The sequence below is a fragment of the Homo sapiens genome, chromosome 6 (assembly GCF_000001405.40).
Source record: "Homo sapiens chromosome 6, GRCh38.p14 Primary Assembly".
In the NCBI taxonomy this organism is placed as follows: domain Eukaryota; kingdom Metazoa; phylum Chordata; class Mammalia; order Primates; family Hominidae; genus Homo; species Homo sapiens.
Genome location: NC_000006.12, coordinates 123,249,225 through 123,273,051, shown reverse-complemented (window position 1 = coordinate 123,273,051; position 23,827 = coordinate 123,249,225). Strand labels below are relative to the sequence as shown.

The 23,827-nt window shown below is 31.6% G+C and overlaps 1 protein-coding gene across 1 annotated transcript in view; it reads left to right on the top strand.

Annotated features, from left to right (window-relative positions):
* TRDN (triadin) overlaps positions 1-23,827 on the top strand; it is a 420,612-nt gene that overhangs the window by 363,899 nt on the left and 32,886 nt on the right. The window contains exons 29-38 of the mRNA NM_006073.4: positions 41-88; positions 1,866-1,913; positions 3,186-3,203; positions 5,301-5,345; positions 7,714-7,734; positions 12,414-12,440; positions 13,390-13,428; positions 17,150-17,185; positions 17,927-17,971; positions 20,617-20,640. Of these exons, the coding sequence (NP_006064.2) occupies positions 41-88; positions 1,866-1,913; positions 3,186-3,203; positions 5,301-5,345; positions 7,714-7,734; positions 12,414-12,440; positions 13,390-13,428; positions 17,150-17,185; positions 17,927-17,971; positions 20,617-20,640 (351 nt within the window). The remainder of the gene's footprint in view (positions 1-40; positions 89-1,865; positions 1,914-3,185; positions 3,204-5,300; positions 5,346-7,713; positions 7,735-12,413; positions 12,441-13,389; positions 13,429-17,149; positions 17,186-17,926; positions 17,972-20,616; positions 20,641-23,827) is intronic.

Below are 23,827 nucleotides of genomic sequence, written 5' to 3'. Positions count from 1 at the left end.
TCTAAATACCTAAAAAAGATTTTCTTTTTATTATTTTCAGAACAAGACATAGTGAAACCAGAAAAGACTGTTTCTCATGGTAAACCAGGTATTTTGCAGGTGGTATTTGTAGTCTCAAATAACCTCTCAATGTTCTAATTTTAGCAGAAGGAAGAGTTTAGAGTCAAGTCTAAAGTTATTTGGGACAATTCATGTCTTAAGTCATAAGCTTCTAGACCATCTCCAATTTTAGTCATCTTCAGAATTTTTTTTTGTGCTGAGAACTTAACCAGTGAGATGTAACTAGACAACTAGTCTTCCCTTCCCACCAGAGAGTTAGCTTTGCACAAAAACCATAGTCACCCAGCACTTAGATGAATGGGCTCTATACTTTCTGTTTTATTCTGATTTGGGCAAGGCATTCTGAGCAAACTTGTAATTCAGATTGGCTTATTAAAATATGATCATTTTAGACTCTCCAAGTCCCAAAAATGCTGAAGAAATCAACATTTCTCCATGCTTCTTTTCCTGACTCTTTATTTTCTTCACCCTTCCTTCCCTTTCTTATTTTCTTTTTATTCCTGGTCTTGCATTTTGTAGAAAGTAGAAGTAAGCTAATATGTTCTGCTTGTAAAAAAAAGATACATAATTTATCAAAACAAGGTTATGAATTAATTTTTATTTAAGAATAAAAACAAGTTTTTATTTCAGCTAATTAAATATGAATTTAATTTTGAGGCTACCCAAGCCCTGATTATTCTGTAGAATATTATTTTTCATTCCAGGCTGAAATATGTACCCAATTTGTGAATATAGTTAGGCCAGAATCTTTGAAAAGTGAAAAACATACTTGCTCTAAACAAATCTTAGGAAATCCTTTGCTTACTTTTATAAATTGTACTTCAGAAAATCTGTATACAATGGGTTTTAGTCTGTGTGATTTGTTTTGCATATGCTTTTAAAAAAACTGTGATACACCAACAACAGAAAATATAGGAATAAGGAAAGCAGGGCTGGAGTGTGGAGAGGTGAGAAGAGCTGTCTGTATTGACAAAAGCAGAACCTTAGAAACAACTTTCAGAAGCTCCTCATTAAATGAAACATTGTTATTTTCTTATGTCCCAAATATTAGCCAACTTGAGGTGAAATAAAGAGAAGTGACAGACTTTAGTCTCTGAGCGTACATCAAATGCATTGTCTTGTAGGAACAACTCTTTTACTTCAGTTACACCACCATGCTCTTTAAATTCTCTGTTATCCAGTGAAACTTTCTACTTAGGATATTTGATCAGTTGATTCATACCCAGTGTGAAATGCTTGAGAAGTTTAATTTCATGTAGTATCAGGGCAATAATCTCTTTACTTTGACCCAAACATCTTTGACTATGAAAAATCACTGAGAACAAAGGACATCCCACAAAGGCATCAACTTTGTTCTTCCCCAGCTTCACACTGTAAGAAATTTGGGTTCTCCACCTATTCCTGGGTTCCCAGGGAGGTATCAGTACAAGAAGATAAAAAATTGCTCCTTCCTATTCTAATTTAATAATAGTAAGGGAACATATATTTTATAAAGCAGTACCTCTGGGCAGATAAATACACTGAAATACAGTGAAGGCAAAAAATAGGGCTCATATTGGCATGTTAGGGAACAATTTAAGTTAGGAAAACTTCTATAGCAAGATAGCTGCAAAGGACATTTCAGCTGGACAGATTTTCTTTGTGCTTTCATCCAATTTGAATAGAAGATGTTTTTGCTGTTTTATTGAGGCAACAAGTTTTTCTTGGCATTGGCACTATTTCAAAAGAATACAAAAATCATGGTTGAAATATGTCACTGATGTATTCAAATTTCCTACTTGTGTTAACATTTTTTCCTATCACAGAAGAAAAAGTTCTCAAGCAGGTAAAAGCTGTCACAATAGAAAAAACAGGTAAATAAGGTATTTTATATTTTTTTCTATGTCTCATTATATGTTATGTGGTGCACTCATATGTGTGCATGCAGACACACACACACACACACACACACAGCCCTTCACTGAAGTGTGTAGGCTTTCAGTACCATAACTTCTAACATTCTGAATTCTTGTGAATAACTAAAAATATGTTCAATATAATTTTTGTTAAAAAATAATAGCTAGAGTAGCATAACTTTAAGTGTGATTGAGCTAAGCTTATGTGTAATTCATGAGAAAATCTATATAATGCATTGATTACCATGTATACTTAGGTGTTTAATCTTATTTTTAAACCACATTTCCTCAAATCTTAAAATTACAGAAGTCTGAAACTTTCTACTATTTATAAATTAGCTGGAATAATTTACTTTCATGGAAGCTCCATAGAGAGGGATATGGTTATATAACTTTAAAGTCTGCCTTAGAGAATGATCAACAGAACATAAAATATTAAAGTAAAAACACTCCATCTATCATTAGTTCATATGAGAAAGAAAAGATACATACTCTTGCAATTCAGAAGTTTTTCCTGTAAGGAAAAAGAAAACTTATGAGTCTTGAAATCAATTCACATCTGAGTCACTGAACTTCCTCTGTTTGATTCCAAGACAGAAATCCTACCCACCTCAGCCATTAAGAGAATCCCATCTCTTACTAATAATCATTCCAAAAGAAAAACTCTGTGAAACATGTTTTTCCCTGAGATAATCAGATAATAAGGATTTAAATAGTTTCTTGGAGGAAAAAATATAATAGAATTCAGGAGAGATCCAATTATTCCTAGAAATTATAGACTAGTTTATAAGTAGAAAGAAAGAAATCTCATAAGGCCGTTTTCACATTACTTCATATGACCATTATACTTTCTTCCGACCACTGCCTAAGTTTATAATTTTAGTAAATGTTCCTTTAATTTGCACCCTAAGGTATTAATATGGCCACCTGAGTATCTCATTCAGTTGTATGGATGTTTGGGAATTATGAAGAAGCTAGCTCAATGTATTTGTGACTCAAATATATAGATTGTTTTAAATTTTATGTGCGTAGCATGTGTCTTACTAGTTTTTTGCAGTTTGATTAATGTATTTGCTGACAGTAAAATATTAGTGGTCAAAGAAAACAGGTTAAGTTTAAGCTAAGGAGGTGACCTAAAACTAAGAATAAGTAAATACAAATACTAAACAGTTATTTTTTCCATGGTTTGTACTCATCAATATGCCATGTGCTTGCCTCCATTCTCCACAGCCAAGCCCAAACCAACAAGTAAGAGATGAATAGAATAACACCTGAGAAATATCGCTTGACCATTTCAGCTTTAACAATTTTGCTTAGTTTTTTTAAGAAAAATGTTATTTTCAGTGTTGTCTGTGTCTAAATAACTGTTAATAATAAATTAATGTTATTGCTATTTAATTGTTAGTGATAAATTAATGTTATTGCTATGGCATTGATTTAACATTCTTGTTAAATCAATCTACCAATTAATGATTAATAATTAATGATTAATTAAATCACTACTAATTAATGATTATAACTATACAAAAGAAATATCCAGAAGTCTGTCACTGTGGTTAATATTAAAAGAGGGAATCCATATAGGCTATAAAATACCACTCACAGTAAGTTAAGGTAGGTTGGAAATCTTTTAAACATACGTAATGAATAACAGAAAATGAAATGATATACAATTGTCAGTGTTATGAACCATATACTGTTTTTAATTTGTTTGCTTTAAGCTGCATTAATTAAACTGTAGGTAACTTTGGCATTTAGAAATCCATTTAATTATAAACATTTTGCCATTTGTCCATTACAATGATGAAATGTCCTTATGAATGTGGACTTTGAAGATCCTTCATTTCACTGTACAGGTGTGACACAGAGAGTATAGTGATGAAGAGTTTAAAGATGACTTTTGGACTCAGGAAGGCATAAATATTTACCCACTGTGGTAGCAAATATATTCAATATTGTGTCAAAATTGTGATGTTGGTCGTTGAATGGTGTACATTTGTGAAACACAAGCTTAGACAAATGCATGAATGGCTGTTGGTCAAATATATTCTGGCTCTTGCATGCAAAATAGCTTCACAAGACCCAAAGGTGAACGTGTGACACAGCTTAGGAATACATATAAGTGGTTTAGGCTATATAGCACAAATGAATGACTCTAATCAGAACACATTCACATCCTAGAATCTGTGAATTGTATTTTGAATATATATTTTATATTATTATTATTCCCTTGATTTATTATTAATGCTGTTATAACAGTTTAATACCTTGAATATTGGCTGCATTTTCTTTTATTTTGAATGCTTATTTACTATAACATTTATGCAAATTCAGTTCATGGAAGTTTATTCTTGAATGCTATCAGTTCCTAATGTACGAATATCTGTTTAGTCTGATGACACCTGGAGTCCCACATCTTCCCACCTACTTCAGTGTTGGTGCATAATTTGGGGGAAAAGTAGTAAGTTTAGAGAAACTCCAAATTCAAGAGTGAGGGAAAGAAAGGACAAGTAAACATCAAGAACAGCTCAGAAGAACTGACCATAGAGGTCATTAGAGGTAACACTTGGTCTGTTCCAGAGTCCTACTCAATTGACAGATATTCTCAATCCCATTCAAGATATCCCACATATATGGTTGACTTTAAATTCCACTTTTGATGAAAGAGAATGATCTCTTTAAAATTTTTAATTCAAATATTTTTCAGAGAACTAAGAGGGATGTCAATTACTCATACATTTTTATTTCTTTTTGTCATATCCTAGAATAGTTGAGATTCAGCTATGAGAGTTTTAAGAAAACCTGGAAAGGGAGGGTGGTACAGGTCAATAAAAATACAAAATGTGGCACTCTCTGGAATACAGCAGATTTAGTTTAAATTTTCAATAAGAAACTAGTGTTCAGCAGTGCATTGCTTCTAACTGGCAAGAAGGTTACTAGGATTCAAAGAGGAAAAAAGAGGAGTTGATAAAATGTCAAAGACAAATACCATCCACTAAAAATGTCCCCAAAGAATGATTCAACTTTCAGCAAATAAAACAATATTCTTATTCTCCTTTTTGCCATATTCTATCCTCTTATACAACACAGCCCCCAAAGGGATAAAACCCTAATACTGTCTTTCAGCCAAATGTAGAAAAAAGCCTTTTCCTGGGTGTCCTGAGAAAGAACCTAACCCTGTTTATAATTTTTTTATGGCAATATGCTTTCTTTGTTTCAAATTACATGAAAATGACTTTGGGGCATGCCTCTTGGGTAAACTGAGGATCACTTGCAAATATATAAATAAGAAATATTTGCCAAAGAATCCACAGATTGCCAGTGAATTTTGATTTCTTTCTCTAGAAAAAGCTGAACATCGAGAAAGAGAACCTCCATCTATAAAAACAGGTATTTTACCATTTTTGGTTTATATTCTGTCTTATGTTCACTATTTTTATTATATTCAAAAATTAAAGTAATGCATACAAGTCATTTTCACTGTGTTTCCTGGTAATGTGTTGTCCTGTGGTTTTGTAGTGTAATCTAGTTTATCTGACCTAAGGGCAATATTGTTGTCAATCAAACATAGATTGCCAAACATGCAATTATGATAGAGCAAAATTAACAAATTAGATTTGATTTTATGATTCACAAGTTCCTTCCAAAATATTCAGTATTTCACTGTTGTCAGTATTAATATAATTTATCATACAGATTAAGTTGATAGTTTTAAAATATCTTGTCAAATTACACAGGTTAAATTTCACAAATTGTGAATTTCAGCTTGATATATCCTCTTAAAAGAGAAGTTACCCCATTCTAAAAGTTAGCTTAATTCTTTTAAAATGTCATTCAATTTTTACAATATGTAATATTTCACATGGTTCAAACACTGAGGCATATAGGAAGCTAACTGCAAAAATCTCTCTCTTTTGGTAAATTCTACCAGTTCTCATTTCAAAAATATGTGATGATATCCAGAGGTAATCACTGTTACTTCTTTTTTTTTTTTTGAGACAAAATCTCTCTCTCCAGGCTGGAGTGCAGTGGCTCCATCTCAGCTCACTGCAAGCTCCACCTCCCGGGTTCACACCATTCTCCTACCTCAGCCTCCCGAGTAGCTGGGACTACAGGCTCCTGCCACCATGCCCAGCTAATTTTTTGTATTTTTAGTAGAGAAGGGATTCACTGTGTTAGCCAGGATGGTCTCGATCTCCTGACCTCGTGATCCACCCACCTCGGCCTCCCAAATCACTGTTATTTCTTAAAGTATCCTTCTAGCATTATCTATCTACCAGTACAAATATATATATATTATAATATATAACATATATAATATATCATATATATTATATATAATACATATTATAATATATTACATATATAATATATCATATATATTATATATAATACATATTATAATATATTACATATATATTATAATATATACATATTATACATATTATTATAATATAATACATATTATAATATATATTATATATAATACATATTATAATATATATATTATATATAATACATATTATAATATATATATTATATATAATACATATTATAATATATATATTATATATAATACATATTATAATATATATATTATATATAATACATATTATAATATATATATTATATATAATACATATCATAATCTATATATTATATATAATACATATCATAATCTATATATTATATATAATACATATCATAATATATATATTATATATAATACATATCATAATATATATATTATATATAATACATATCATAATATATAATACATATTACATATAATTATATATAATACATATTACATATAATATATATTACTATATATAATATATAATATATATTATAATATATATAATATATAATACATATTATAATATATATAATATATAATACATATTATAATATATATAATATATAATACATATTATAATATATATAATATATAATACATATTATAATATATATAATATATAATACATATGATATATAATATATATAATATATATAAACACAAAATGTATCTACAAAAAAAGTATCAATTTGTATTCCCTCTGTTAGCTATTAGTTATTTTACTTAATTTTAGATGATTCAATCCTGCAATCATAGCTAAATCTTTTCTACTTTTTATGAAGAAATAGAACTTTAGATGTACGATGACACAGTTAACGTTTTTAGTTAATATATTTTAGAAGACATGTTATATTGGAAAAAAATAGAATGTCTTTACGATTTTTTTTACCTACCACCCATTCATTCTTGAGATTTTATAAAGGAACCTTATTGTTCAACATACGGGATTGGGAGAGTTAGTATAAATTAATATTAATAATTAATATTATTAGTATAAATTAATATTAATAATTAATATTATTAGTATAAATTAATATTAATATGTATTCCAAAAGGACTGTGGCAGAATATATATTTTATGCTATTTCAGAAACAGTAAGAAGTTCAGATTTTTGTGAGCATTGATTAATATTGTATCAAATCAAATATGAGGTTTACAGGAATAAAAAAGAGACCAAAAAAGATTCCATACTTTCAGGCTTTACTGCTCCATGAGAAACTCATTGGGAGTATGATATGAAAATTATTAAAAACACATTTCCTACTGTTCATTGTTGATATAAGTTTAGTCTTATTTTTACAATAAAAAGCAAAAATAGGAAATATAAAGGGCTGATATGTCACCCATAGATAGAAAATTATCACTCATTTTCTTTTTTTTTCTTTTTTCCTTTTTAGACAAACCAAAACCAACTCCAAGTAAGTGTACCATTTTAGAATTTTAAAATTGTCCTATTTCATTGTTTTAATTTCACAATTTCTTTGAGTTATAACTGAAGTTAAATAGTATGGTCTGTTTGTTAATGTAATAGCCATTATACTATTACCATATAAGTGAGTCTGGTTGACAAAGGATATTGTGTGCACAGGCATACCTTGGAGACAAAAAGCACAACTAAAAGAAAATGGGTAGAGCAAGAAGCCCTAGACCAATAAGCACATGAAGAGATGTTTAGTGATTCAAAAAATGCAATTCAAGGAAAATTAGATGTCATTGTCCTGGCATACCTCGGGGGTATTGCAGGTTTCATTCAGACCACCACAATAAATCACACCATTTTTTGTTTTCCCAGTGCACATAAAGATTATGTTTGCACTATAGTCTATTAAGTGTGCAAGAGGATTATGTCTAAAAAATGTACATAGCTTAATTTAAAAGTATTTTGCTGCTAAAAATGTTAGTGATCATCTGAAACCAGCAAGTTGTAATACTTTTGCTGGTAAAAGTATTGTCTCGATGTTGATGGGTGCTAACTGATGAAGGTGGTGGTTTCTGAAGGTTAGAAATTTGTGGTGATTCTGAAAATAAGACAACAATAAAGTTTGGTACATTGATTGACTGACAAAAGATTTCTCTGTAGTTCGTATGGCTATTTGACAGCATTTTACTCGCAGTAGAACTTCTTTCAAAATTGGAGTCAGTCATCTCAAACTTGGCTTCTGCTTTATCAACTAAGTTTATGGAATGTTCTAAATCCTTTGTTGTGATTTTGACGATGTTCACAACATCTTCACCAGAAGTAGATTCCATCTCAAGTATCCACTTTCTTTTCTCATCCATGAGAAATAACTCCTCGTCTGTTCAAGTTTGATCATGACATTGAAGCAATTCAGCCACCACTTCTAATTCTTTTGTTGCTTCCACCACATCTGCAGTTACTTCTTCTACTGAATCCTTAAACCTCTCGAAGTCATCCGTAAGAGTCAAAATCAATTTCTTTCAAACTCCTGTTGATACTGACATTTGGACTCCCTCTCATGAGTCAAAAATGTTCTTAATAGCATCTAGAGAGGTGATTCCATTCCAGAAGACTTTCAATTTACTTTGCACGGATCTATCAGATGAGTCACTATATATGACACCTACAGCCTTATGAAATGTACTTATTAAGTAATAAGACTTGAATGTCAAAATTACTCTTTAGTCCCACGGGCTGCAGAATGTATGTTGTGTTCACAGGCATGAAAGCAATATTAATCTCCTCGTACAGCTCCATTAGAGCTCTTGAGTGACCAGGTGCATTGTCAATGAGCCATAATATTTGAAAGGAGTCTTTTTTCTTAGCAGTAGGTCTCAACAGTGGGCTTAAAACAGTCAGTAAATCATGCTGCAGACAGATGTGCTGTCATCTAGATTTTGTTATTCCAGTTATAGAACACAGGCAGAGTAGATTTGGCATAATTCTTAAGGGACCTAAAATTTTCAGAATGGTCAATAAGCATTGGCTTCAACTTCAAGTCACCAGCTTCACTAGCCTCCAACAAGAGACTCAGCCTGTCTTTTGAAGCTTTGAAGCCAGATATTGACTTTTCTCTCTAGCTATGAAAGTTCTAGATGACGTCTTCTTTTAATAGAAGGCTATTTGTTAAGTTGTTGTTGTTCTTTTAAAGACAGGGTCTCACTCTGTCACCAGGCTGGAGTACAGCTTGGGGATCATAGCTCACTACAGCCTCAAACTCCTGGGCTCAAGTGATCCTCCCTAGAAGGCTATTTTGTCTACATTGAAAGCTTATTGTTTATTGTAGTCACCTTGGTCAATTATCTTAGCTAGATCTGGATAACTTTCTGCAGCTTCTGTATCGGCATTTGATGCTTCATCTTATACTTTTACGTTACGCAGGTGGCTTCATTCCTTAAATTTCATGAACCAACCTCTGGTAGCTTCCAACTTTTCTTCTGCAGTTTCCTCACTTCTCTCAGCCTTCATAGAATTGAAGGGAGTTAGGGCCTTGCTGTAGATTAGGTTTTGGCTTAGGGAACGTTGTAGCTGCTTTGATCTTCTATTCAGTCCACTAAATCTTTCTTTGTCTCAGCAATAAGGCTGTTTCCCTTTCTTAGCATTTATGTGGTCACTGGAGTAACACTTTTAATTTCCTTCAAGAACTTTTCCTTTGCATTTACAACTTGGCTAACTCTTTGGTACGTGAGGCCTAACTTTCAGCCTATCCCAGCTTTCAACATGCCTTTCTCACTAAACTTAATCATTTCTAGTTTTTGGTTTAAAGTGAGCCATGTGCAAGTCTTTCTTTCTTGTGAATACTAAGAGGCCATTTTAGGTTACTAACTGGTCTAATTTCAAAACCATCGAGTCTCAGGAAATAGGACTAGAGGAAAGGGAGAGGGCTTGGTGAATGAGAGTCTCAATACACACATTCATTAAGTTTTACCACCTTATATGGGTGTGGTGTGTGGAACACCAAAATAATTACAGTAGTAATATCAAAGATCACTGATCACAGACCACCATAACAGATGTAATAATAATGAAAAATTTGAAATATTGTGAGAATCACCAAAATGAGACACAGAAATGTGAAGGAAGCAAACGCCATTGGAAAAATTACACCAATAGGCTTAATCATACAGGGTTGCTACAAACTGTCAACTTGTAAAAAATGTGATACCTGAGAATTGCAATTAAGCGAAGCACAATAAAATGAGTATGCCTGTATTACATTTATTAATCCTTGAACATGTATTTATTGAGCACCTCTTAGGTCTATGACACTGGACCAGGATGTATGAGGGAATGCCTATCATGTTTTCTGTTGATATACCTGGTTTGCTAACACATTTACCATGATAACTAATACCTGTGCAAATAAACAAACAAACAACAACAAAAGAAAACCAAAACAAAACAAAAACAAAAGACACAGTAATTGTGTCTCTCTCTTATCTACTTTCAATTGTTTGTTTAGATGTATTGAATAAACACAGTATGGAGATCTTCTAACAGTTATTGTGTGGGTTGAGAAAAATTAAGAGCACATAATATATGTCCTCAATTTATTTAATTTTAACACATTAGCTTTTTATTTTCTAATTTTTTTAAAGCCCTGAGGTACATTTTATTTTGTAATTCAAAATCACGGGGCTTTCCTGGACATCTTAAACAATAGTAAATATGCAACAATAAACAGTGAAGCTGTTTATTTAATCCTGTTAGAATACTCAGACTGTAACCTGGATTAAAAATTGAGCATTTCAATCCAAAGTGTATCTGGATGTTGTATTTATATGTTTTAATACCCAGAACTAACCTGTTTTCTTAACAGCACATGACAGATTCGTTAATAATGCAGCTACAGGCTACTTCATAATGGATTCAATGCCAATTTTAAACATTAAGTACAGCCTTTAGGCTGGAGATATTCTCTAGTATAGTTTGTAATACTGCTACTAATATGAACACTATTGCCAAAATTAAGGGTTGGAAGTCAAAACTAGAATGCTAATATGAAACATCATTATAAAGCCATTTTAAAGTACTATATTTTTATGAAACATTATTTATTGTATACCTTCATTGTCATAAAATATTTTAATTTTTTTTTGAATTTTGAAAATAGCTACTCAAAATAGTTATGTAAGACTGATAAAACTGATACCACGTTTGTAGAAAACATTGATATTTTATGAGAGATATTTCTTAAACTACCAGAGAATTTTTATTTTCTGGAAATGTTATTATTTGAAATTATTTGTGACACAAAGTTTTTTTTAAAAAAAACTTTCCAGGTTATACTTAGAAATATTAATCTGTAAGTTTACTGAAGGAACAAGAAGAAAGCATGGTTCTGTATGAGCATAGGCAAAAGGCAAATATAATTTTATGTCTTCTATCACTTATCAGACTGTAGTCAATATGAACTGAGTTTGTTTTTATTAACTTTTAATCTCATCCCATGACCACACTCAATTGCATTTCTGACAGCATCTTATAAATGAAGCTACTTTAATAAATATTATATGAATGAATGTTTGCATGCATCAATGAAGATTAAAAATGTAACAGATTTATAATTTGTAACTAAGAAAACCAATTTTGAATTTAGAATTCATTAATTATATCGTATGTTTTTTAATTTTTTACATTTCATTTTATTTTATTTTTAACTTGGTAGGTACTTAGTAGTTGTATATATTTATGGGTACATGAGATATTTTGATATAGGCAAGTAAATGGGGTATCCATCACATCAGCATTTATCATATTTTTTGTGTTATAAAAATTCTAATATTTTAGTTATTTTAAAATGCACACACTAAATTAATGATAACTGTAATCAGCCTGTTGTTCTATCAAGTACTAGATCTTGTTTATTCTATCTAACCTATTCTATAATATTTAAATATACCATTTTAGATTAATTGAATATTTGTTCTATTTTCAAAATAGATGTCTAGTTACAGCTATCAGAAATATTAATCATCAGTACATTTCTTTGCCATTTTGAGTATGTGTGCCTATTGTAATTTAGGAAGAAATATCAGAAGATAAGTTTCAATTGTTTGCTACTGAATAAAAAACTATACTTTTTCTTTTTATTTTTTTTCCTTTCTTTCTACATTCTTTTTTTTTTTTTTTCTAAAGAAGGAACATCAGAAGTCACAGAATCAGGTAAATATTTACTTTTTCAGAGGAGATAAGATACAGTTGTGGAAACAGTATGTAAATTTAAGTTTCTAGATGTATAACATTTAGAAAATCCCTTAGCTGCTCAAATTCCAGATATTCTGTTCTACAGAACAGGCATAATGACTTCCCAAAAGGCTTGTTATAAGGAGTAAATGATGCAATGTGTCCATTCTTACCGCATACAAACTTATAAGTCACCCATTAAATATTGTTTTTCTTCTCACTTTTGTCTAAAAAGTGTAGCAAGAAAATTATTATTTACCAAGACTGCTTTGAAAACTGGATCCACATTTTGCTTAGAAATATTATGTTACATTTTTATTGCTTTAATTCATTAGTTTACTTATGAATCCATCATGCCAGGCAAATTCTTATTTCCTAAAGGTAAAAATGTAACATGTAGTTTTTTTTCCTATTGTTTCTAGTTTAAACTTGTTAACAAAGGCATGGCTTATCCTAGCTTGTCTTCAAAGCATAAAAGAAAAGGGGAGGAAGTGGGTAGCAGGGTCATGCCTGTAAGTAAACCAGGCTACTCAGGAGGGTGAGGAGGGAGGATCCCTTGAGACCAGGAATTTGAGGGCATATAGAAAGACCCTATCTCAAAAAAAGAAGATAAATAGGAGGAGGAAAAAAAGAAGTAGGAGGAGGAAGAGGAGGAGGAAAAAAAGAAGTAGGAGGAGGAAAAGAAGAAGGAAGAGGAGTAAAAGACTTAGAGGAGGAAGAGGAGGCCAAAGAGGAGGAGGAGGAGAAATTTTGACCCTATAGGTGACTACATAAACAGAATGACCAAGCATAACAAAAATGAAATGAGAGAGCCCTGACTCCCTCCACTCATAAGATTAAGTCTCATCTCCAACTGTTTACTCCAAGAATGAGTAAGAAAGTCATGTTTTTTAAAATGATGGTTTCTTGTTGTTTTTCTTTCCCCTAGGAAAGAAGAAAACTGAAATATCTGAAAAAGAAAGTAAAGGTAAAAATGACATTTTAAGACATATACATCAAATTAGCCACAAAAACAGAGGAACAAAAAACAAATTTATACAAATTATATGATTTAAAAACAGTTGATGAAAATGAAGACACTGATTTTATAGCACATATCATAATTATAGTACATTACAGTTCATCATGCAAAACATATAGTTATTGCATTTTTATTAAATATCTAAAAGGATCAGGAATTTAGAACTGAAAGCAGACTCTACCTGTTACTACTAAATTAAAACTACAGACTTCTTTTCATATTACTACTGAACTGTGAATATTGCCTACATAAAATTCAATTCCTCACCTTAAGAAGACTTGTTAATAAATATATTACTCTGATACAGAGAAAGTGGGAAAGATCTAAAATCAACACCCTAACATCACAATGAAAAGAACTACAGAAGCAAGAACAAACAAATTCGAAAGCTAGCAGAAGACAAGAAATAACTAAGATCAGAGCAGAACTGAAGGAGTGAGAGACACAAAAAAACCCTTAAAAAAATCAGTGAATCCAAGAGCTGTTTTTTTGAAAAGATTAACAAAATAGATAAACCATTAGTCAGACTAATAAAGAAGAAAAGAGAGAAGAATCAAATAGACACAATAAAAAATAACAAAGGGGATATCACCACTGATTCCACAGAAATACAAACTACCATCAGAGAATACTATAAACACCTCTATGTAAATAAACTAGAAAATCTAGAAGAAATGGATAAATTTCTGGATACACACACCCTCCCAAGACTGAACCAGAAGAAGTTGAATCCCTGACTAGACCAATAACAAGTTCTGGAATTGAGGCAGTAATTAATAGCCTGCCAACCAAAACAAAAGCCCAGGACCAGACGGATTCACAGACGAATTCTACCAGAGGTACAAAGAGGAGCTGGTACCATTCCTTCTAAAATGACTCCAAACAATACAAAAAGAGGGAATCCTCCCTAACTCATTTTGTGAGGCCAGCGTCAACCTTACACCAAAACCTGGCAGAGACATAACAAAAAAAAGAAAATTTCAGGCCAATATTCCTGATGAATATCGATGCGAAAATCCTCAATAAAACACTGGCAATCCGAATCCAGCAGCACATTAAAAAGCTTATCCACCACAATCAAGTCAGCTTCATCCCTGGGATGCAAGGCTGGTTCAACCTACACATATCAATAAATGTAATCCATCACATAAACAGAACCAATGACAAAAAACACATGATTATTTCAATAGATAAAGAAAAGGCCTTTGACAAAATTCAACACCTCTTCATGCTAAAAACACTCAATAAACTAGGTATTGATGGAAATTTTCTCAAAATAAGAAGAGCTTTTTATGATAAACCCACAGTCAATAGCATACTGAAAGTGCAAAAGCTGGAAGCATTCCCTTTGAAAGCCGACAAAAGACAAGGATGCCCTCTTTCACCACTCCTATTCAACATAGTATTGGAAGTTCTGGCCAGAGCAATCAGGCAAGAGAAATAAATAAAGGGTACTGAAATAGGAAGAGAGGAAGTCAAATTGTTACTGTTTGCAGATGACATGATTGTATATTTAGAAAACCCCATCGTCACAGCCCCAAAACTCCTTGAGCTGGTAAGTAACTTCAGCAAAGTCTCAAGATACAAAATCAATGTGCAAAAATCACAAGCGATCCTATACACCAATAATAGACAAGCAAAGAGCCAAATCATGAGTGAACTCCCATTCACAATTGCTTCAAAGATAATAAAATACCTAGGAATACAACTTACAAGGGATGTGAAGGACCTCTTCAATGAAAACTACAAACCACTGCTCAAGGAAATAAAAGAGGACACAAACAAATGGAAAACCTTCCATGCTCATGGACAGGAAGAATCAATATTGTGAAGATGGCCATACTGCCTAAAGTAATTTATAAATTCAATGCTATTTCCATAAAGCTACTAATTCACAGAATTAGAAAAAACTACTTTAAATTTCATATGGAACCAAAAAGGAGTCCTTATAGCCAAGACAATCCTAAGCAAACAGAACAAAGCTGGAGGCATCACACTACCTGACTCCAAACTATACTACAAAGCTACAGTAACCAAAACAGCATGGTACTGGTACCAAAACAGAAATATAGACCAAAGGAACAGAATAGAGGCCTCAGAAATAACACCACACATCTACAACCATCTGATCTTTGACAAACCTGACAAAAACAAGCAATGGGGAAAGTGAGGATTCACTATTTAATAAATGGTGTTGGGAAAATTGGCTTGCCATATGCAGAAAACAGAAACTGGACACCTTCCTTATGCCTTATACAAAAATTAACTCAAGATGGATTAAAGATTTAAACATGCCGGGCGTGGTTGCTCATGCCTGAAATCCCAGCACTTTGGGAGGCTGATGTGGGCGGATCACGAGGTCAAGAGATCGAGACCACCCTGGCCAACATGGTGAAACTCTGTCTCTACTAAAAATACAAAAATTAGCCTGGCATGGTGGCACACACCAGTGGTCCAGCTACTCAGGAGGCTGAGGCAGGAGAATCACTTGAACCTGAGAGGCAGAGGTTGCAGTGAGCCAAGATCATGCCACTGCACTCTAGCTTGGTGCCAGAGTGAGACTCTGTCTAAAAAAAAAAAAAGAAAGAAAAGAAAAGAAAAAGATTTAAATGTGAGACCTAAAACCATAAAAACCCTAGAAGAAAACCTAGGGAATACCATTCAGGACATAGACATGGACAAAGACTTCATGACTAAAACAGCTAAAGCATTTGCAGCAAAAGCCAAGATTGACAAATGGGATCTAATTAAAGTAAAGAGCTTCTGCACAGCAAAAGGAACTATCATCAGAGTGAACAGGCAACCTACAGAATGAGAGAAAATTTTTGTAATCTATTTATATGACAAAGGGATAATATCCAGAATCTAATAGGAACTTAAACAAACTTACAAGAAAAAAAAAACACACAACCCCATCAAAAAGTGGTTGAAGGATATGAACAGACACTTCTCAAAAGAAGGCAAACATATTTTAAAAAGCTCATCATCACCAGTCACTAGAGAAATGCAAATCAAAACCACTGAGATACCATCTCACACCAGTTAGAATGACAATCATTAAAAAGTCAGGAAACAACAGATGCTGGAGATGATGTGGAGATATAGGAATGCTTTTACAATGTTGGTGGGAATTAGTTCAACTGTTGCAGAAGACAGTGTGGCGATTCCTCAAGGATCTAGAACCAGAAATAGCATGTGACTGAGACTTGGAACCAACCCACATGCCCATCAATGATAGACTGCATAAAGAAAATGTGGCACATATACACCATGGAATACTATGAAGCCGTAAAAATGAATGAGTTCATGTCCTTTGCAGGGACATGGATGAAGCCGGAAACCATCGTCTCAGCAAACTAACACCGGAACAGAAAACCACACACTGCATTTTCTCACTCAAACGTGGGAGTTGAGCAATGAGAACACATGGGCACAGGGATGGGAACATCACACATTGGGGCCTCTCTGAGGGTGGGGGTTAAGGGGAGGGATAGCATTAGGAAAAATACCTAATGTAGATGATGGGTTGACGGGTGCAGCAAACCACCATGACACATGTATACCTATGTAACAAACCTGCATGTTCTGCACATGTATCCCAGAACTTAAAGTATAATTAAAAATAAATAAAAAAATAAATTACCCTGTTACTGTTTCTTCTATACAGAAAAAGCAGACATGAAGCATCTTAGAGAAGAAAAAGGTAATTTTTTAAAAGAATAAAAAATAGAATGCAAAGCCCTGAAGCTAAAATATTTTAAGTCAAAATGTATTTATATCATATGAAAAAAAACTTTTCTAAATGTATGTGATGAGTGTTAGCCTGAGTAAAAGAAGAAATATGGTAAGTAAAAAACACAATAAAAATGATTGTGTAGTAACGGCAGTGTCAAAGAAGCAATGGATGGTAAGCCAACCCATGCAAATAAGCATCAGTTTGTTCTGCCATTGATGAGCAAAGTATAAACTGAATCAAAATGCTGCCGTTTTTCTTAACATTGGGTTTATTTATTTGGCAAACTACACCATATAAGATGACAATTACTGATTTGAGTATAATTATCATAAAGCTTACAAAGGTCTTAATTATCAAATAGTTTATTGGAGCAGGAGGAAAGCATTCTTAGACATATCAGAATTATTGTCAATAACAAAATAACTCTTTTTTGTTTATCTCCAAATCCAGTTAATCAGAATGACCCATTTTTCATACATTCTAGTTAATTTTGTTCCTACATTCATGTTATACCTCTGTTTATAAAACAATGTCTAGTGCTAACATTTATTTTTGTTAGGTACCAGTTGGATAGAAAAATTTTTGAAAACCAACTTGAGAAAATATTTATAACACTTAAATTATCCTCATTCGTTGATGTGAGACAAAATTTTGATGGAAATTTACTTTAAAAATTTATATTTTAATTTACATTTTCCTTATTAACAGTCTCAACAAGAAAAGAAAGTCTTCAATTACACAATGTGACAAAAGGTAATCTTGAATTACGTAACTACTATGTTTGTATGAAAACATATGAATTATGTTGTTGCTTAATATTAATATTAAATTATTTTGGAACAAAGAAATCTAGAAGATGCAAACTTCTCTTAATAGCAGAGGAAGTGGACAGGTAGAAAATCTAGCAGAAAGCTTATATTTCAATAGAAAATAAGAAAACATGAAGAAATCAGAACTATTAGCAACATTAACATGAACAAATATTCTGTTACACATCAGAAGAAAAATTATCAATTACAAAGACTTTTTTAGCATGAATAATGTCAAAAGTAATATGGTAGTAAAAATAAATATTACTGGGATTTATTTTTATCTATCACTAAATAACATATAGTTAAGATCATGAATATATTTTTTATTGCTTATAAATTAGACCTTTAAATTAATTCAACCTAGACACAAAATAGGCAAATGCCAGCATGCACAATGCAGACATTTTTTTCTTAAAAAGAGAATGATCTATTTTGCTGATATTATCATAAAACTGTAAATAACGTTTATACTAAATTATGTAGCCTTGGCAACATAATTTTAGGGAAATTCAATTACTTTAAAAAAGTGCTTTAAATTCGAAGGTGCTAGGTAAACATATCATAACTAAGACAACTATTTTCATTCATAGCAAATACATAAATCTCTAGTAGGGAGAGAAAAAGCTTTGTTTTTCACTGACTCCCTTTTACTGCTCACTGAAATGTGTATCCCTGAAATGACTAGACATATCTAGACATACCTTTCACACGTAAAATTATTAATGTATTCATAATTATCACTAATATTAAGAGGTAAAACTTTCAATTGAAGGGCAATTACATTTGTAGAATAATATAGGGGCACAATTTTTATATTGAAACATTCTTTTAAATATTGTTTAATATCCTTTGAGATAATCAGCCAGAAGGATGAGAAAAAAATAAATTAATTAGAAAATGTATGGTTATACCTTTTCCTATTGTTTACTTGATTCTTAGTAAGGCCCAATTATCATGCCCAGTTTAAAGATGAAATAAGTGCAATAAGAGAAAATCTAACATCTCAAGAGTATTTATATGGTACAGACAAGATTTGGCTCCAAGTTTGTATGTTTTCAAACACTATAATGGTTAAGGCCATCTATTCGTACTTCAGTATTCTATTACGCTGCTGCAAATACAAGAGAAAGTTTTCTGCCAATCACAGCAGCCCAAGGATAGAGTATATCCCAATTTGCCCCCAAGGGAGTGATCTACTAGAGAGATGATTTGAGGAAACCTCTGTAACTCAGCTGTACAAGAGATTCAGACTTCTGATTCAGACTTCTCACTCTGTTCTGTGAATCTATCGTTTTAAAGTCTTCATCTTGGGAAAACAGTGGAGAAAAATGATTATGTACGAAAGCACAAGTCCAACTCAGAGATAATTGAGAGCAGGCATATTCTTATTCATTCCTTCATTTATATCAGTGAAAGTCTATTTTTCCCCTAAATTTCTGTCTTCCTAACCAATGCTAGTATTTTTAAAGAAAAAAATAATAACATGTTAGTCTTAGTGAAAGAGTTTTCCAAATTATTTATTTCATAATTTTATGCATGAAGCATAGTACTCTAACAATACTGAAAACATGTATCCAAGCTGAAAATGTTTTTTAATAGGAATAACCTAATTTTTATAAAATTTTAATCTTTAGGTTTATGTTAGAAACTCTACAAATCTCAAAATAAACCATGTAATACAGGTAGCTTAAAAATCATATTTTCTAGTCTGGCTCTTTAAATGAGACTAATGTTAGAATGGAACTGTTACTAGTCTTTTTCAAGAAATTAGAATGTCTGCTCTAGTGTTTGGGACAATAATTTCACCTTAGTTATTTTGTCCTAAATACAGCTTAATAAGAAAGCACATTTCTTTGAAGAATAATAACCTCTCATTAGAATAAATAAATTATTATGAAAAAGTAAACTTACTTTGCATGTTGTTTTTTAAGATGTATTTTATAGTCTGGTAATTATTTATTTTATCTATCTTTGAAAGAAAAATAATTCTAAATGATATATTTTATAAAGTCTTGGAATTTTAAAGAAAATATTTAGCTGTTACATAATGCAAAGTAATTTTATTCAAGCTAAGTATAATAATAGTTGAGCCAAAACTCTTAATTTAACAAAGATCTTGATTTTAGTAAGAGTATTTTAAAAGCATAAATATTTTGTGACACTTTGATGAATAGCTTTTTTGATAGCTGACATATTTTCTTAGATAAAATAGATTAACCAAGATATTCAAAGAATCAGCCAGGCATAGTAACTCACACCTGTAATACCAGCTACTCGGGAGGCAGAGGAGGGAGGATTGCTTGAGCACAGGAATTTGAGGCTGCAGTGAGCTGTGGCTGTGATTGTACCACTTCATGTCATCTTGGGCAACTGAGACCCCATCTCTAAATAAAAATTTTAAAAAATTAAAAATTATAACAAAACAAAGACTTATGTTGACAGGCAACAGATGACTGTATTTCTTCATTGATTCTTAAATAATAAGCAAGAAACAAAATAATTAGATATTTTTATAAAGTCCACTGATTTATAATTTCCTTGCATTTTATCTCAGTTAAACAAAACTTATTTATTTTCTCTTTTTAGCAGAAAAACCTGCAAGAGTATCAAGTAAGTACGGTTTGTATTAATGACAAGTTCTCTTTGATACATAGTATCAATTTTAAGATGAAATTCATAAAATATTTTTATTTTTGAAGTGTTCAGTATAGTTTATTCTAAACTGAATCCTCTGACAGGAATTTATTAGCTTTTATTGTTACTTACGTTGAAACTTAAAAAAAAAACTATGTTATTTGAAATTACAACTTGTAACAGAAATATCTTATTATTTTCTCAAGCCTGAAAATAAAAATGACTTGCATTTAAATAAATAAATGTTTTCAGTGATTAAATTCAAGTGAAATAAAATAATTCTGTATCTGCCTTTAACTGTCAATCACTAGAAATTTGTTAAAGACCACATATGGTCGAACAGTGATGCTTTTGCTGCTGTTTTCTAGTGTTCGTTAACCTAAATAAAATTGTGTATCTAAGAAACCTAAATTGTAATTTAATTGTATAGCTATAATTTAATTGTAAACCTAAATTGTAATATAATTGTATATCTAAGAAACCTAAATATAATTGTGTATATAAGAAAAACAGCATAGTTAGGAATGGATGTATCTCCTATAGTATAAACCACAGCTCCCAGAATAGATTCTCTAGAATATCAGGATCCAGGTACAGATAGAAATTCTATGTATATAGGATATAACTGTAAATATTCTTACAAGTTCCTAAGATTCAAGGAAATAACAATTTATCCTTTTTTATTTCCATATTTATGAAAAAATATTCTAAATAAGTACCACCCAATACAAATATAAAATGTGACATATATGTAATTTTAATTTTAATTACATATATGTAATTTTAATTTCATATGTGTAATTTTAATTTTAATATGTTATTTTAATTTTCTAGTTGACACATTAAAAGACAAAACAAAACAAGTGGAAATAATTTTAGTAATATTTTATTTTATGTAACTTATTTTATACAAATGTTATTTCAATATATAATCAATATAGAAAAGTATTTATCCCTACATTCTTTTTTTGTATTGAGATTTTGAAATCTTATGTGTATTTTACACTTACACTACATTTTATCTTGTGCTAGTCACATTTCAATTTCCCAAATCCCCATGTAGTCAGTGGCTACAGCATTGGATAGAGAAGGTCCTACTGTACCCAATGTTAATATTGAAGACAATAAAAAGGAACCATTAAAATATGATACCACATGTCATTCAAAGGTCTTTGATTACAGGTGATCATAGACTTGCTTCAGGAATTTAAAAAAAGGAAAGATATTGTAAGGACACAAAATTGTCCCACTGATGGCAAGGACAAAATGTATAGATAAAAGGAAAGGCCCTTGGAAGCTGCCCTATTCCACACCATTCCCCTACAGCCAAAGGTAATGAGAGCTGACTACATAAGGAGGTAATGCCAAGATTTTTGCCTTGAAGAATGGTTAGGATTTGGATAGCTGGAGAAAAGGATAGAAATGACTGACAAAGAAAGATAGCATCAGAAGTATTGGTTGAAGTTGAGGTGTAGTGTTGGAAAGAAGTGGGAAGTAAGCACATTTCGGGTGAAACTGTCAGGTAGAGAATATTCAAGGCCAAAATATTTTAGAATGTGCCACAGAAAGCTATGGTTTACTTCCTCCTAGAAGGAAGTAAAAAGTCAAGGAATTATTGGGACACCTAACTTCATAGTAATAGCAGTAGTAGTAGTAAGAGTAAGATTATGAGCAGTAACTGAAAAGAAAAATATATCAGAAAGAAAAATATATCATTTAAAATATATCATTTCTGTGATCCATATTAAAATAAATGATCAGAGACATCATGGAATGATTGTTTAATAAGGTGGTTTTCTGAGTATATGAAGCTTATTTCCTCTATAGCACATATTATTGTTTTTATTATGCTTTTTTAGGAGCAATCATCAAAAAACTGTCTTAGGTATTTATAAAGAAGAGCATACTATATATATTTGAAACTAAACAAGTATCATTCTTTTTCCGAATCCTTTTACAGCATTATGTATATGTATATTTTGCTAGTGGTGGTGGTAGGAGTGGGTTTTGGGGCTCAGACTTTTTTTTCAGTCATTTGTTTCTCTTTAACTAAAGGAGCTTCATGAAATAGCTGTGCTTTGTGGCCATCACTCTCTTCCCCTAACTCCACTCTAGTGCCTGCACCTCTTGTCTAGCAGGGACCAGGTCCTCCAACTTTTACAGCCATGAGCAAGTCATGTCTTTTGTTTGTGTTCTCGTCAATTTCTTTAATCAGTGTTTGTAGTTTTCCTTGTAGAGATCTTTCTTTTTCTTGATTAGATTTATTCCTAGGTATTTTTCTTATAGCTGTTATAAATGCAATTACCTTCTTGATTTCTTCTTCAGCTAGTTCATTATTGGTGTATGGAAATGCTACTCATTTTTATGTTGATTTTGTATTCTGCAACTTTACTAAATTTATTTATCAAATCTAGAAGTTTTTTTGGTGGAGTCCTTAGGTTTTTCTAGATATAAGATCGTATCATCAGCAAAGTGGGATAGTTTGAATTATTTTCCAATGTGGATGCCTTTTATTTCTTTATCCTGTTTCATTGTTCTGGCTGGGACATTCTATTTATTTCTTTCTCTTGTTTTGATTGTTCCGGCTAGGACATTCTATTCTTCCCCCTTTTGAAATCATCATGTCTATTATTTCCATCTTTATGTCCATGTGTACACATCATTTAGCTCCCACTTGTAAGTGATAATGCATGATAAATTTGATTTTCTGTTTCAGTTATTTCACGTATGATGATGGGCTTCAACTCCATCCATGTTGCTGCAAAATACATGATTTTACTGTTTTTTATGGCTTCATAGTATTCTGTGGTGTATAAATACTACATGTTCTTTATCTAATTATCCCTTAATGGGCACTTAGGTTGATTCCATGACTTTGCTATTGTGAATAGTGCTGCAATAAACATAGAAGTACAGGTATCTTTTTAATATAATTATTTATTTTCCTTTGGGTAGATATGCAGTAGTGGGATTACTGGGTCAAATGTTAGTTCTAATTTAGTTCTTTGAGAACTCTCCATAATGTTTTCCATAGGAATTGAACCAATTTACATTCCAACCAACAGTGTATAAGCCTTCCTTTTCTCCACATCCTCGTCAACATATTTTTTTTGACTTTTTAATAATAGCCATTCTGACTGGTGTAAGATAGTATCTTATTATG